The 16,353-nt window shown below is 42.1% G+C and overlaps 1 protein-coding gene and 1 pseudogene across 11 annotated transcripts in view, besides 2 other annotated features; both read right to left on the bottom strand.

The window, feature by feature from the left end:
• HECW1 (HECT, C2 and WW domain containing E3 ubiquitin protein ligase 1) overlaps positions 1–16,353 on the bottom strand; it is a 453,355-nt gene that overhangs the window by 362,410 nt on the left and 74,592 nt on the right. The window lies entirely within an intron of this gene.
• Positions 5,384–5,895: an enhancer, noted in NCBI's record as "H3K27ac-H3K4me1 hESC enhancer chr7:43237296-43237807 (GRCh37/hg19 assembly coordinates)". NCBI's record gives its function as "activates a minimal SCP1, AML or CMV promoter by ChIP-STARR-seq in primed H9 embryonic stem cells {active_cell/tissue: H9 hESC(primed)}" and the evidence as "EXISTENCE:reporter gene assay evidence [ECO:0000049][PMID:30033119]".
• Positions 5,896–6,408: an enhancer, noted in NCBI's record as "H3K27ac-H3K4me1 hESC enhancer chr7:43236783-43237295 (GRCh37/hg19 assembly coordinates)". NCBI's record gives its function as "activates a minimal SCP1, AML or CMV promoter by ChIP-STARR-seq in primed H9 embryonic stem cells {active_cell/tissue: H9 hESC(primed)}" and the evidence as "EXISTENCE:reporter gene assay evidence [ECO:0000049][PMID:30033119]".
• On the bottom strand, positions 9,110–9,170 carry RNU7-35P (RNA, U7 small nuclear 35 pseudogene; annotated as a pseudogene).

The raw sequence follows: 16,353 nt of genomic DNA, 5'->3' as shown, positions 1-16,353 counted from the left end.
GTAATCCCAGCTATTCAGGAGGCTGAGGCAGGAGAATCACTTGAACTGGGGAGGCAGAAGATGCAATAAGCAAGATTGTGCCACTGCCCTCCAGCCTGGGCAACAAGCAAGAAAAAAACAAAAAGTAATGTGGCTTTATTCTTACAAGAAACAAAAAATATCCTTATCCTTTGTTCAGTAATCTCACTCCAGGAATTATCTTTAAAAAATAATCGAAGAAGGAAAAGAAATAATATATGGGATGTTCGCTGCCATATTATTTGCAATATTACACAAAAAAGGAAACTAAGAGAGGACTATCTCAATAAGTTAGGGAACATCAACTTCCTGTAGCATGTTGCAGCTATCACAACTGATGATGATAAAGATAATATAGCAAAATAAAACTATTTGAAATATAATAAGTATAAAAGGCAAGGAGAGGGCTGGGCATGGTGGCTCACCCTTGTAATCCCGGCACTTTGGGAAGTCGAGGCAGGCAGATCGCCTGAGTGTCACGCGCGTCCGTGTGAAGAGACCACCAAACAGGCTTTGTGTGGGCAACAAAGCTGTTCATTTCACCTGGGGGCAGGCGGGCTGAGTCCAAAAAGAGAATCAGCGAAGGGAGATAGGGGTGGGGCTGTTTTATAGGATTTGGGTAGGTAGTGGAAAATTACAGTCAAAGGGGGTTGTCCTCTGGCTAGCAGGGGTGGGGGTCACAAGGTGCTCCGTTGGGGAGCTTCTGAGCCAGGAGAAGGAATTTCACAAGGTAATGTCATCAGTCAAGGCAGGAATCAGCCATTTTCACTTCTTTCGTGATTCTTCACTTGCTTCAGGCCATCTGGATGTATACATGCAGGTCACAGGGGATATGATGGCTTAGCTTGGGCTCAGAGGCCTGACACTGAAGTCAGGAGTTCAGACCAGCCTGGCCAACATGGTGAAACCCCATCTCTACTAAAAACACAAAAATTAGCTGGGCGTGGTGGCAGGTGCCTGTAACCCCAGCTCCTCAGGAGGCTGAGGCACGATAATCGCTTGAACCCGGGAGGCAGTGGTTTCAGTGAGCCGAGATTGCACCACTGCACTCCAGCCTGGGGGATAGAGTGAGATTCTGTTTCAAAAAAAAAAAAAAGGCAAGGAGAAAAATTTTATGATTATAATCTTATAATAATTATGTATGCATATGAATGTAAAAAAGAATATGGAAAAGGAAAGATACTTTTCTTTTTGGTTCTGCAACTATTGTCATTATTGATGTCATGTTTTTAGTGCCCAAAAATATGCACACACAATTTTTTGATGAGAGAGAGATCCTACGGAGTACAGATCTTGACCAAAACAAATGAGAAAACTGTTGGGAGAGGACAGTGTGCATTGTGCAGACTCTAGTACAAGACTCTGTGTTCAAATTCTGGCTCTGCCACTGACTAGCTAGGTATCCTTCAGCAAGTTACTCAACCTCTGTAGCCCTTGGCTTTCACATCTACTTGTATTTCATAGGGTTACTCTGAGGGTTAAATGAGTAAGTGGAGCATCATAAGTATCTGGAGCATCATGAGTAGTTCAGTGTTGGCTAAGTATTATTTTTATTATCATCAAGGAACCTCTTTACACAGAAGTCTCCTTATTATGAATTTCTCTGAAGCTCTCACAGATAAAATGGACTTTGATTCTACCCCAGAGTCGTAAGTCATACTTCTCTCACATGAACCATTATTTTAGTCAGTCCTTTATCTATACTTGGACATTTAGGCATTTTTCTTTTTGCTTTTATGTCCTAATGTTAATGAAATCTTCAAGCATATATTTTTTTCGTTTAGTTGTAAGAATTCAGCATAGGTATTTCTCTCCACACAAGACCATTCTCTGGACGTAAGTCATTGCAGACAAATTCTCTGACCAAGATTCCCTAGTCTAGAGTCTAGGAGAATTGCTGATTTTCTTTGGTGACTTCATGCAGGAAAAAGACTTGGAAAGTGGAATTGTGAAGAAAATGTCAGCTTTACCACTTGGGTACCTTAAGTCACAAATCTACCACGGGGAATGTAAAGATGAATGAACACTGGCTGTTCCGTTACTGTTTTTCTTATCATAATTACCCTAAAAATATTATAGGTTTACAGAAAAGCCCCCTAGCATCCCATTGAGCGTGGATTCTCAATTTGACTTCTGGGCATCCTTCCTCCTTTTTGTGTTAACACAGCATGCTTCCCCATGAACATGCACAGAGGTAATTCTCTGTACATCCTGCCTCTACAGTCTCATGGACTTCCGCAGCCTCAGCTCTAGAAGAAAGACTCAGAAATCTGCATTTCCAGCTTCCAAACCCCCTTCTCTGGAGCTCTGTGATTGGGACTGCCTCTTCCATTGGAGTGTCCTCTAATTCACCACGCCCAGAGAGCAGGAGGGACTTGGGCAGGCCAGTCAAGGGACATTTTGATGAAAAGGAACACCAAGGACCAGTGTGTGATGGATTTGAGTCCAGCCTAGAGCAAGTCTGTTACTTTTTGTCCACGGTCTTCAAGCTGAATAACACACACACACCTCCCCTATCACAAATATCCTTCTCCCACGTTTCAAAATAACAGAGGTGTATTTCTTCCCCACTGTGAATCTTACATCGACTCTGGAAATAAAAACCTTCTGGAAAATGAAGAAAGGGTTAATGAGATCATGTCCTTGTGAAGCTTCCTTCCATCGAGCCGCTTTGGTAAGGTTTCCCATCTTGCTGGCTTTGTAGCTATTTTTGTTTAGGGTAAAGCATGGAAACAGAGTCAGAGGTGAGCATGTTGGGCCACATTGCTATGTTTGATAATAAGACTTACTATCCAACAGGGAGGCAGAAGTGGTAATAAGTTTTGAAGACCCTGTTTCTTCTATTACCCAGCTGAAGCCAAATTGCTCCTGCAAGAGCTGGCCATAAGAGCAGAGCAATGAGCCCGGGACAAAACATTGGCAGCAGAAGAGCTTTATTTCGTCAGACAAGAGAACATGGCAAAGCTCTGTGTCTCACCTGTGTATTTATCTTAGAAGGCAACCTCAGAAGTGGGATGGCTGTCTCAGCACACACATCAACACAAAGGGTTTGAATCTAAAAGATTGGAAGGTAGGGTTACCCAACAGAGAAGAAATCTGACTTGGCTGCCGGGTTTGCTGAAGAGGACTGGCTTTGCAGATTTTGTTAAAAGGTGATCATTTGACTAATTGAGTGACATGCATGAGCCAAAATTTTCCATTCTTAAGTTTTTGACGAAAGCATTTTAAAAGAAGATTTAAAAATACTGCATCATATTACAAAGGTGTACTAACGGACAATATTTCAATCTTACTTTTTCTAACAGTATTAATCAATTATAGAAGGTACCTCTAATAAAATAAGTATAACTAATGCCATTCAGGAAAGCCTTTTTTTGGTAGATGTTCCAGAAACTGAGACAATGACTCTAATTTGGGCCAATCAAATCCGTTTGAAAGTTAACTGGTTTCTAGTACTTTTAAAAAATAGAGGAGAACCTAATCAAATTGTCAGATAATAGGACCTTAAAAGTAATTTTCTGTGATTTTTGGCATGAGCCCTAAAAGGATTTATAAAAATTGAGCGACGCTTAGTGACTTCTTCCATTCCTATGTACTTATTCACAGATTATTACTATAACCATGCCCCTAAATACAAACAGAATTAAATCTTAAAATTGCCCTCAGTACTTACAACAGTGAAATTAAAAAACAACCACAACAACAAACCAAACGTGTATATATAGAATTTATGCCAAAACTGTCTCATTTTAACAGGAAATAGCACTCATTCGTGGGTACTGGAACACGAGAGAAATAAAAGCCCCTTCCTACTCAGTAAGAGATACATTTTGGATAAAATTCTATATTTTTTTCTACTAAAAATATATAACATGTGTAATCAATTGTGTATGAATCACAACTGTAAAATATATTAATCTAGATATTTCTCATATATAAAAACTCGATGCTTACAAAGAATTAAAAAAATCTAATTCCCACTATGTACTTATTTTTGTTGACAGGACATATGACATAGTGATGAGTAAGACTTCCTGCCAGAGGGTTATACTATATTAGGATAAAATGCAGCGGGGTTGGTGAAATAGAAATGTAAGTTCCAGGGGGAAAAGAATAATGTAAATATTCAACTGTTAATGAAAAGCTTTACATGTATTTTATAAATTGATCATGGAAACTCTCAAAGTCTATAATATTCAGATTCCATAGGATATATATTCTTGAACAGATAACTTTATTGTAAAATGTCAATACTGAAGTAAATACAGATAATATACTTTGCTACTGATTAGACTTATAAAACACACTTTTAAAATGTCAACATTAAAAGTGCAAAACTCGTGAGTTGAACGGAGAGCTAAAGACAGGCAGGCAAACTGTAATCATAAGAGACCAGGCGTGCAGAAGGGAAGCACAGAGGCTGTTCCCTGAGCGGGAGCTCTCAGCTTGCCTGGAGAAAACCGTGGAGAGAGAGAGTGTGCAATGAGGGTCTGGAGGGTTCTCCGTGTGGAGGCAGGATATTTGGACTCTCTTATATCGGATTTGTGGTCATACCAGGCTTTGGAACTGGGAAGGCAAATGGTTTAGCTTAGCGTTATTGAACAAATACAAGGTAGGAAGCATGCTGTGAGAGCCTTCAGAGGAACAATAGCCAGCTAGCTCTTGATGATGAGAACGCTGGAGAGGGTGCTTCCTACTTCACCAGTTCTCCTGGGAGAAGAACATGGCCAGCCCAAAGGGATCTCAGGAGGACTGCGGGTGTGCGAGGATGTGTGTGTGCACGTGAGTGTGGAGTGTGTGTGAGAGAGTGTGCAAATCTATAGTGTGTGAGAGTGTGGGGTGTGAGAGTGTGCAAATCTGTATTGTGGGGGGTGTATGTATGGTGTGTGTGGTGTGTGTGTGAGTGTGGGGGTGTGTGTGAGATAGAGTGTGGGGTGTGTGACTATGGTGTGTGAATGAGTGTGTATGACTGTGGGGTGTGTATGGTGTGTGTGGTATGTGAATGTGTGTAAGTGAAGGGTGTGTGAGAGTGTGGAGTGTGAGTGTGGTGTCTGTGGTGTGTGACTATGGTGTTTGAGTGTAGGAGAGAGTGTGGGGTGTGACTATGGTGGGTACGTGTTAGGGTGGGTGAGTGTGTGAATGTGAGTATGAGTGTAAGAGAGTATGGGTGTGTGACTGATGAGTGTGTGTAAGACGTGTGTGTGAGAGCGTGGGGTGTGTGACTATGATGAGTGTATGTAGGATGTGTGTGTAAGTGACAGTGTAGGGTGAGTGTGCGAATGTGTGTGGTGTGTGAGTGTGGGGTGTGTGTGAGTGGGTGTGTGAGAGACTGTGGGATGTGCGACTATGGTGGGTGTGTATAGGGTGAGCGTGTGAATGTGTGTGCTGTGTGTGTGAATGTGGGGTGTGCGTGAGTATGAGTGTGAGAGAGTGTGGGGTGTGTGACTATAGTGGGTATGTGTAGGGTGAGTGTGTGAATGTGAGTGTGTGGTGTGTAAGAGAGTGTGTGTGTGGGGTGTGTGACTATGGTGTGTGTATGTGTAGGTTGTTGGAGTGTGTGCGTTGAGGGTCGAGATGACCTAGGGGCAATGGCAGGAAAGATGTGGGTTGTCATTGCTCAGACTGAACGGGGCAGCCACAGCTGACAGGGAATCAGGGGCCCAGTGCCAGCTCCAGGGGCCTGTGAACCAACGCCTTCACTGGGAACCCTGTGCTGGGTTTAATGCTCTGCTGTCGCCATCTTGAAATCCTTAATAATTTTTGCACAAGCTGTCCCGCATTTTCCTTTGTCACTGGGGCCACGGTTATGTTGCCAGTCCTGGAAGCGGTCTGTGTTCGTCAGAGTCCCCCACCTGCCCAGCAAACTGACATCCCCCTCACCTCACCGCTCCTCTCCCAGTGGGCAGAGTCCTGCTGATCCTTGTCTTACCATGAGCCACACCTGTTCTTCATGCAGCAGTGACTGATACAGATTTAGGGGCTCAGTTTGGAGAAATCGCTCAGGGCTGGGGGAGCTGTAGAAGGTTATTTAGCAGAGGCAGTGATCGCTCTGTGCCAAGAGGTGGGTCCCACCCTCTCCTTGGGCCACTGTGCACGCTCCTGGGCATCTGTCCACCCAGGACGCATCGCTTTGCAGGGGGCTAATCAATGCCTCTCCACAGGCAGCAGGAAGGTGGTCTAGGGCAGCGGAGCCTTTCTCTGATTTGCATAAAGTCATTATCTGGAAAAGCTGTTTCTCTGTGTGAGTGTGTGGGGGTGGGATGGGGTATTCCGCTCCCTCTTCCACTTAATGAGTGAGTTCCTACCATGGTAAGACTGTGACCCCCACCCATACCCCCAAAAGAAGAGATTTTCCTTTTTTTTTCCTCATCTTTCCTAATTTTCTTGAGTGTACACAGAACAAAAACTATTTTTTTCTATAAATTCTCTTTTGGATTACATCACCTTAGAGAAAGGTGCACTGGGACCAGGGATGGGGGCTTTTGTGTTCCAATTAATAGGTCTTTTTTCTTTTCTTTAAGAATTTAATTTATTGGATAATATGAATGCATTTGAGAGATATGTGCCCGTCCTTTAGCTCACTGATCTCCTACAACAATCGGTGCTTTTATGAAATGAATATGATGCACACACTACCATGTATATACTTAAAAAAATGGCTCAAGGGCAGGGGGAAAATAAAACTCAATTTAAAACATAGTTTAATTTTTTCTCACTTTCTGATGCACATGAATGTAAAATATTACAAATTATTCTTCATATGTTTTAAAACCACCATAGATTTAAATTTAATAAATAAAGGTATGTAATGTAACTCCAAACTTACTTAAAAACTTGCTGAGCTGACTTTGTAGCTGGGCATATTGTGGAAAAAACTATCAAAACACACTCCTAGAGCCTCTCTCTGGAGCCCGGCCCATCTCCCGCTCAGGTCAGAAGTGTGCAGAGAGAGTGGCCCACTGCACTCATCCTGAGGGCATTAAATCAATGAGGCAAGAGATTCATGCATATGCAGTTACCCTCTGAGAGCCGGGACCTGTGGCAAACTACCCTGGACTCCAACGCTGAATGAGATCATCACAGAGGTGCTGGCTGTTTGTCATCAAAGCATGGTTCACTTATGCAAAACGGAACAATTGAATGCAATAAACCCTAGACACTGATTGAAATAGTTGTCTTAGAAACAATAAGACCTATTTGGGTTCAGATAAAATCAAGTAAAGATAGAGGCAGTGCCTACCTTTTTATATATTAAAATACCTGCAAAATACTAAATTCTTTAGAATACCAAAATATCAAAATCCCATACTGTGTCAAAATTAAGAAACAAACACATATCTCCTAACAGTATTGGAGAGGAAGGAGAACAGTCAGTCATAGGAGGGATTTCACCCACTATAGCACTGGAGGTAAGATAAGAATAATACAAAGTGGTTGCAGGAGATTGGAAAATTCCAGGCGGCAGTTTCACATGACTAGCAAAAAGACACCTGAAATAGCTGCAGAAGCTATGAGCTTATAAAATCCTGAAAAACCAGGGTGTGGACCAAGCTGGCTAAGACCGACTGGACCCAACGTGGTGCTGGATTTGGCCTGGGTTTCTCCTAGAACCTCATTATACGCTCATTAACATCCTCAATCACACACCCACCACCCCGTGACAGTTCTGGGAATACCTATATTTGGTGTAAAAATGGGTGGCACCACAGTTCTGAGAAATTTCTACCTTCTTCCAGGAATTTTCATGAGTATTCCACCCCTTGGTTAAAGAAATCCATAAAGGTAGCAGCCCAAATCCATGGGGCAAACTCTCTCTTTAATATGCCTGCACTTCCTTTTCTTGAGTATGTAATTTTGTTTTGCAAATAAATCTCCCAACTTTCATGATTTTTGGATTCATCCTCAAGTTCCTTCTCACAATGGTGTCAAAAGTCTGGACATCGGCTTGAGTCCAGGTCCTACTGGTATTTGGGGACCGACCCCAGCCCACCAGTATCAATGGTGCCAGCCTAAGAGATGGAAGTGATGATGCCCATGGGCTCTGCTTTCTGGGGCAGTAACATAAGAGGCGTGGCTACCAAGCAGGGAGGGCTACTGGTCGTTCAAGTTACCAGGCAGATCTGCCGCCCTGTGGCTGTGTGGGCAACTTCCTGAGGCAGCCAGCCTTGCCCAGGGCCTGGCCCCCAGGAGATGCCTTTGTGTGTGGATGGGAGTTGAGAGCTCCTTTAGGAAGCCTGACAAGGTGGCACAGGGCCTCCCAGACTGTGCGACCTCACACACAGTGCAGTGCACAGCTTTGCGAAGTTTATATTCCCCTTTTAAGACTGAAGCCCCAGTAATGAACACCATACCATTAACACTTCTTTCTTTTTTCTTGGGAAATAAATAGAATTAGCAATATGTGACAGTTATCTATTGCTATTAAGTCATTCTTAGGATCTGGGAATCCTTCTATGTGGAAAGTAAATCATACTTGTGGCAGTAGGTAAGGGGAACACAATGATTGCCAAAGTCTTGGGAAAAAAATCTCCCTCATTAAAAAACAGTCCTTCAGAGAAACCTTCACCTGACCTGCCTGAGATGAGGTAGCGGGCGCTCATGCCTGTAATCCCAGCACTTTGGGAGGCCAAGAAGGGCGGATTACCTGAGGTCAGGAGTTCGACACCAGACTGACCAACGTGGTGAAACCCTGTCTCTACTAAAAATACAAAAAGTAGCCAGGTGTGGGGGCAGGCGCCTGTAATCCCAGCTACTTGGGAGGCTGAGGCAGGAGAATTGCTTGAACCCAGGAGGCAGAGGGTGCAGTGAGCCGAGATCGTGCCATTGCACTCCAGCCTGGGCGACAGAGTGAGACTCCATCTCAAAAAAAAAAAAAAGGGTGGAGAGCATCTCCTTCCCCCTCTGTTGAAGCATTTTCCTGGTTGAATCCACAGAGCTTGGCCATCTTAAAGGATTTCAGAGAAAGGACAGGGCAGGGACTAGCCAAGAAAAGAAGGTCCTTGTCTCTGATTTCAGCAAGGTTTTGCGGAAAAGAAGGGTCCAGGGAGCACACACACAGGCTTATGGTTTTTCTTTCTTTTTTTGGGGTAGGAGTGGCTTTCTGGTAAAGACTGGAAAACCTGCTAGACAAATTCTAAAAGAGCTGTAACACTAGCTTTATGGTTCTTCATACACTGCATCTGAACTGATCAGAGAATGAACGAGCATCCCAGATTTTTAAGGAAGAGAAAATCTCACTTTAGTTCAGCATTTTAAAAAATGTCTACTAAGATTAAGTTTTAGTGATTAAATGCTGACTAAATACAGAAATTACCATGGTCTTATAAACCAAAAAAATAGAATTCCAAGCCACTCAACTGACTGAACAGACCCTCCTCTTGGCCAAGAGGACCCAAAGAAACCTGAAAAACCAGTTCAGGCCATATGGGACACGCCTCATGATACCCTCCTCCCTTTGGAGTTCAGGCACCACTGACCAGCATTAACATTAAAAGAGATCCCAAGATTGACAGAACAGACTCTTTGCAACAATAAGATGCCAAATTCCAAACATGTTTGCATAGCATCACATAACACATAGCCAGTGCTGAAGCGAATCAAAGCATTTTACTCCAAAATATCTTTTTTGACATATTTTGAAATGGCCCTGCAAAGCTGTCTCTTGTGGGGGGCATTCACAATCTGCAGAGAATCTCCTTCCCTTACTAGGTCTTTCTGTTAGAGTACATAGTTAGGCAGACACAAGCAAGGCAGGAGAGGCCACCCAGGAATGTCAACCTGTAGCCATCAGGCAAAAGGTCAGGCAGTTGTTAACTGTCTCTCTAAAATAATAATTGGTCACAGCCAGTGGCAGGGAAAGGCAGTCTCCCACTAGATAGAAAACACATCAAGTGGCCGGGTGTGGTGGCTCATGCTTATAATCCCAGCAATTTGGGAGGCTGAGTCGGGTGGATCACTTGAGGTCAGGAGTTCAAGACCAGCCTGGCCAAGATGGTGAAACCCCGTCTCTACTAAAAATATAAAAATTAGCTGGGCGTGGTGGTGGGCACCTTTAATCCCAGCTACTTAGGAGGCTGAGGCAGGAGAATTGTTTGAACCCCGGAGACAGAGGGTGCAGTGAGCCAAGATTGCACCATTGCACTCCAGCCTGGGCGACAGAGCAAGTTTCCATCTCAAAAAAAAAGAAAACACGTGAAGTAAGATAGGAAGATATAATACATATAATATTTTGGGAAAAGGGCATGAGATAGGAGTTCGGCAGGACTGGTTTCTCAAGATACAGGTCACGAAGATCCTGCTGATGAAACAGGACGCAGTAAAGGAGCCGGCCAAAACCTGCCAAAACCAAGATGGCTACAAATGCAAATTCTAGTAGTCCTCACTGCTCATTATTCACTAATTATAATGCATTAGCATGCTAAAAGACACTCTTACCAGCATCATGACAGTTTACAAATGCCATAGCAATGTCCAGAAGTTACCTTATATGGTGTGAAAGGGGGAGGGACCATCAGTTCCAGAATTCCCATTCCCTTTCCTGGAAAGGTCATGAATAATGCAACCATCATTTAGCATATAATCAAGAAATAGCCATAAAAACAGCCAGCCAGCAGCCCTTGGGGCTGCTCTGCCTATGGAGTAGCCACCCTTTTATGACTTTACTTTCTTAAAAAACTTGCTTTCACTTTACCCTGTGAGCCGGCTCTTGAAGTCCTTCCTGTGTAAAGCCAAGAGCCCAGGTGGCTTTCCAGGCTGAATCCCAATTTTGGGGTTCGCCCTGTGACAGTAAGGATATAGAAATGTATGTACAACCTTAACAGATGGGGAAAGATATCTATTAAAATAAGATCTAAAAAATAAAGTATACCAAAATGTTGACATTGATTGTCACCAGCTGGTAGCATTAAGGACAATTTTTTTCTTTATACTTTTCTATATTTTCCAATGTCTTAAAATAAGCACGCGTAAGTTATTAATATAATTAGGAGATTTAATTGAATTTATTTAAAAAGAATCTTCAATAGTGTACCACTTTTTTCTTTTTATGAAGTTTATCTTTACGTATTTAGTCATTTTTATTGATACATATTAGATATATGTATACTCAATGTACATGTCATATTAGGTTGGTGTGAAAGTAATAATAATTTGGCACATTCATATAATCAAATTAGGGTAACTGGAATATCCATCAACTTAAATATTTATCTTTTCTTTATGCCAGGAACATTCAAGTTATTCTCTACTAGCTATTTTGAAATGTATAACCAATTAATGTTAATGAGTCACCCTACTGATCTATTAATACTAGGTCTTGCCAGGCGTGGTGGCTCACGCCTGTAATCGCAGCACTTTGGGAAGCCAAGGCGGGTGGATCACCTGAGGTCAGGAGTTTGAGACCAGCCTGGCCAATATGGTGAAACCCCATCTCTACAAAAATACAAAAATTAGCCGGGTGTGGTGGCAGATGCCTGTAATCCCAGCTACTCAGGAGGCTGAGGCAGGAGAATCGCTTGAACCCAGGAGGCGGAGGTTGCAGTGAGCCAAGATCATGCCATTGCACTCCAGTCTAGGCGACAAGAGTGAGACTCCATCTCAAAAAAAAAAAAGAAAAAAACAACAACTAGGTCTTATTTCTTCTAAATGAGTAATGTGCCACTTTTTAAAGGAGCACCAATTATTGGCTAAGCCATCAAAAATGTATTTTGCACCTTGTGTTTTCCATCAGTCCTCCTATTCTACTGCATAATATGAGTTTGCTGTATTATTTGAGATTATTCAATTCTGCTGAAGAAGACAAGAAAAGCAAATTAAGTGGATGAAATACTTAAGCAATGTAAAAGCATACATAGTGAGTTAGCAAGTGGTTTGTATGCCACAGGAGAACCTTGTAGTCTGTGTTAAGTCCCGAGAATGAGTAAGCAAATGGCTTGCAAGACATGGGCAGAATTGATCATATATGCTAAATGCTGACAGTAAATTAGAAACCTGAAAGGCTAAAAATAGAAAATGGAATATATGATGGCAAAAATGTGTTACTTAGAGCTAGAAAAGGATGGATAGACCCAAGTTATAAGCACACACATGGTGACAGCTGGGCCACGCCTGACATTGACTATCCACTGGTGACACCTCGCATGTCCCCATTCTGGCTCTGCATGTGTTTTGTCCAAGAAGTGTAATTAGAAAGCATGGCAGTTTAGCAGCTAACTGGCAAGCTACAGCTATAGGCTGGCTACATCGCTGTAATAGAGCTAGTGTATGTCAATGGCCTCAGGTATCTTCTAGTCTGGGGGTACTCTTGCTCAAACTCAACTCTGGCCTCTTAATGACACCATCACTGGAGAAGGCTCCTATGGCAGACAGACAGGACACATGAACTTGACTAGCCCAGGATTTAGGTAGTGTGTGCCTTCCTCTTGCATATATATATATAACCCAAGAGTGTTAATCTACTCCGCAGTTTTCCACTGTTTGCATTTTATATTGATTTAGTAAACTGTGGGATTCAAGCATCTTAATTTGGTCTGTGAGCCTTTTTGTTTTGTGATTTCTGGGATAGCTTGCTTGGTGGGTACTTGCACCAAGGTCCTTCCCTACACAGCTTATGGAAGGGGGAAAATATTCTTGTCTTTCACAGAATGGTATTAATACTTGAGACAGACTCCAGTTTGGGATTTGATATGAAGTCATGCAGTGACCTATTAGCAGCCAGAAACAAGACTGGGTCTAAATCAGGGAGGAATAGTTTGCACAGAATAATCCCTTATGAACTTAGAGGCCTTGAATAAGGGAGGAGATGAGTTTGGAACATGGAGGGAGAGCATTCTGGGAAGAGGGTCTGTGTGCAGATGGGTTTTTTGGAAACCTTAAGACTGCCCCATTTGGGATGGTTAGAGCATTTCTCAATCTTTCCTTTAGCAGCAAGCTCTGGTCCTTGGAGAGAGCATAGAAAGATGAGGACTGAAATTATTCCACAAATACATCACCGGACAACTGAATACATTATGAGAAATAGTTCTCAATCCATGGCTCCACTGTATCAATGTATTTCATTGTCATTTTTCCTTTGAAAATCCCTCAAGCTTATCAGGATTTAGTTGTACAATGAAGAAATACATTATCCCTCCCCTTCCCTACTGTGACTATAAAACACATTTCTGGCCAGGCGCAGGGGCTCACGCCTGTAACCCCAGCACTTTGGGAGGCCAAGGTGGGCGGATCATGAGGTCAGGAGTTCAAGACCAGCCTGACCAACATGGTAAAACCCCATCTCTACTAAAAACACAAAAATTAGCCAGGCGTGGTGGTACACGCCTGTAATCCTAGCTACTCAGGAGGCTGAGGCAGGAGAATCACTTGAACCCAGGAGGTGGAGGTTGCAGTGGGCCGAGATCATGCCACTGCACTCCAGCCTGGGCGACAGAGCATGACTCCGTCTCAAAAAACAAACAAACAAAGCAAACAAACAACAACAACAACAACAAAAATTTCCACAGCTGTGACCAGGGGTGTGTGAAGGAAATGTCAGAAGTAAAGAGCATTTATTTGCCTTGAAAACACTCAGTAAGTTTTTCTCTCTCCCAATATTGGCTCCTGAAATATTGAATGTTACTAACCTTCCCCTTCTTAGAAAACAAAACAATACACAAAAAGCCCCGAGATTCAAAATATGTTGCAGGTCTGCTACTGTATTCTATATACCAGGCACTTTTGGAACTGGGCAGTGAGGTGACCCTGACTGACATTTTATGAGACGTATCTACTTAAAGTTTGGTTAATTGCCAAGAGTCTTGTTATCAACTTCCATTGGTAATTATGCATTTAATACAATATGGTAGAAACTCTTCTCCAGTGCAAAAAGTTTTCTTATGTAATGAATCACTTAAAAACAATAAAATGCCTCCAGAAACTTTTACTTTTAACCCCATGTATTTATTTTTCATAATAAGGTCAAGTTTTCTCTCTTTCTTTTTTTTAATGTGTTTTACTGAATGGTATTCACATTATCTTTATGAGAAGAAGCAGCTTCATGATATCCAGATTTAGGTTTTTTAAAGTGGAGTGAGCTCTTGAATAACTTAAAGTACTAGCAAAGCGACCTGCACACAATCTCTTTTTGTATTTTAATGATTTTCCAATAAGCTTTTGTAACAGTCTCATATTTTGCTATTCACTGTGTAATCTGTGGACCAGCAATGTCCCTATCGCCTGAGAGCTAATTAGAAATGCGAAGTCTCAGGCCCCACCCTCACCTACTGAATCAGAATCTGCCCCTTAACAAGCTCTCTGGGTGGTTTGTGTGCACATTAAAATTTGAGTAGTTATGATATGGCCTATTCAGTTCCTATTTCAGTAGCAATTTTAAAAGAGATTTGTTCTTTCTTTCTGTCCTTATATTTTATAATATTATGTACTATTTAACTAAATTATGTCATTGTAAAAGTAAGTATTACTGGCATAAACAAGCTTGGGCAAACACACAACTGCCTCTGTAAGCATTCAACTCAACCGTGAGAAAGGAAGCGAACGAGTGTAAGATTAGCCGAGTGCGCCTCACCCTGTGGGCATCACTCAGGATGTATTGCAGAGGGAAGACAGCTTCTAGGAATCCACGGATTGGCTTAAATGTAGGCTGTTTAAAAGAACCAGTCCTATAATTGTAATTGATATTCCCCGATGACTTTTCATGAATTGTTTCTAACCCCAATGACAAGATGGCAGGAGGGTGTTAGCAGAAGGCACTGTACTGTTGGCCAAGTATCCCCAGTTCTTCCCCCTCCAGCCACTTGCAGGATTGCTCTTTCTGGCCAGATATGGCACGGGGGCAGGAGTCTCATCTGGCCAATGAATTGTGACCCAAAGTAACATGTGTCATTTCCAGCCAGTACATTTAATTTTTATTGAACTCCTCAGAGCCCTCAATTTCCCTTTGGCCCAACAATCTCAGAGGTGTCAGCTATGAGCCAGCAAGGAAACACCTCCAACATTTTAGTTGCCTGTGATTCTGGGGTTTCTCACAGCAGAACCTAGTCAGTGCTGACCGAGACAGTATTCTCACTTAGAGGGTACAGCCCTAGGTTAGTGATTAAACTCAAGCACACCATCTGTCAGGAGTTAGCTTTAAAATGCCTTCGTGTAGATGGTGTGCTTGAGTTTAACCACTAACCTAGTGTTGGGTAAATAACACTGAATTTCCTTGATTTAAAATCCCCACACACCAATCATAGGAGCAGTTATTTAGCTCCTACAGGAGTCTTCAGTTCAGAATGTGGCTTTCCTTCAAAAACCTCAATCTAAATCTGTATCAGAGAAGATTGCTAGTTGATCTGTGGGATTTGGAAATAACTTTTCATTAACCAGAGTATTGTACAGGCATCTCCAACTTGGAATGAATGGGGCTGAAGAAACTGGTGAGCCACGAAAACAATCCCTTTGAAGAGACATCCTCAGTCTGGAACCACATTCTGCCCTGTGCCCAGAGAACATCCCTCACAAGGTAAGCCACTCCTGTCATCAGGACATTTGTTATGTTTGTGCTGGAATTAGTCCTTCCTACAAGGTATGTGCTACGGTGCCAAAAAGGCAGCAGTGGGGTCTTCACGGAGTCCACTGATGGGACATTCAGCCATTTAGTGCCTGCTTGGTAACAGATGGTTGCACATGTGAAAAAATTCAGTCTGGGACTGACTTGTGCTGTAGTATATCACTTTTTAGTGTAGTTTTGGGGTAGGAGATATAGAGCTCCCATCTACCTCTAAATGTTGGAGCTCACCTATAATTACCAAAAGAATCGGATAATTATCAGAACCTATTTGGTCGAATTGGGTGAGAAGGCACACTAATAGACAAGAAAGGCAAGCTTGAAGGAGTTGGAAAGAAATCCAACTATTTAAAGATTATCACGGTTAATATAGAAAAGAAAATTATAATATAAAGGAAAAGCCCAAATTCAATCACATAAAATCAAAATTTCACACAAACAACATAAGAATATTAGTAATAGAAGTCACAAAAACGATTTTAGAATGAGTAAAAGGTAATAGTATCTAAAAGAATAAAATATAGATAATATAATGAACTATTAAAAAGTAAAATAAAAACCCTAAAATTTGAAAGCACGAATCAAAATAACAAAAATGAGTTAAGTTACCCAAAATTATGGTATGTGGTGGTTCAAAATACGTCCACAGATTCTTTGACACTACCTTCAGCAGGTGGAGCCCAATTTCCTCCACTTGAAAGGCTGCACTTAGTGACTCACTTCTAGTGAAGAGAATAGAGTAGAAGTGATGTGCGACTTCTGGGACCAGGTCTTAAAAGACATCATGACTT

The sequence above is a fragment of the Homo sapiens genome, chromosome 7 (genome assembly GCF_000001405.40).
Source record: "Homo sapiens chromosome 7, GRCh38.p14 Primary Assembly".
In the NCBI taxonomy this organism is placed as follows: domain Eukaryota; kingdom Metazoa; phylum Chordata; class Mammalia; order Primates; family Hominidae; genus Homo; species Homo sapiens.
The sequence above is the reverse complement of the archived record's forward strand: the minus strand, read 5'-3'. Positions and strand labels throughout refer to the sequence as shown.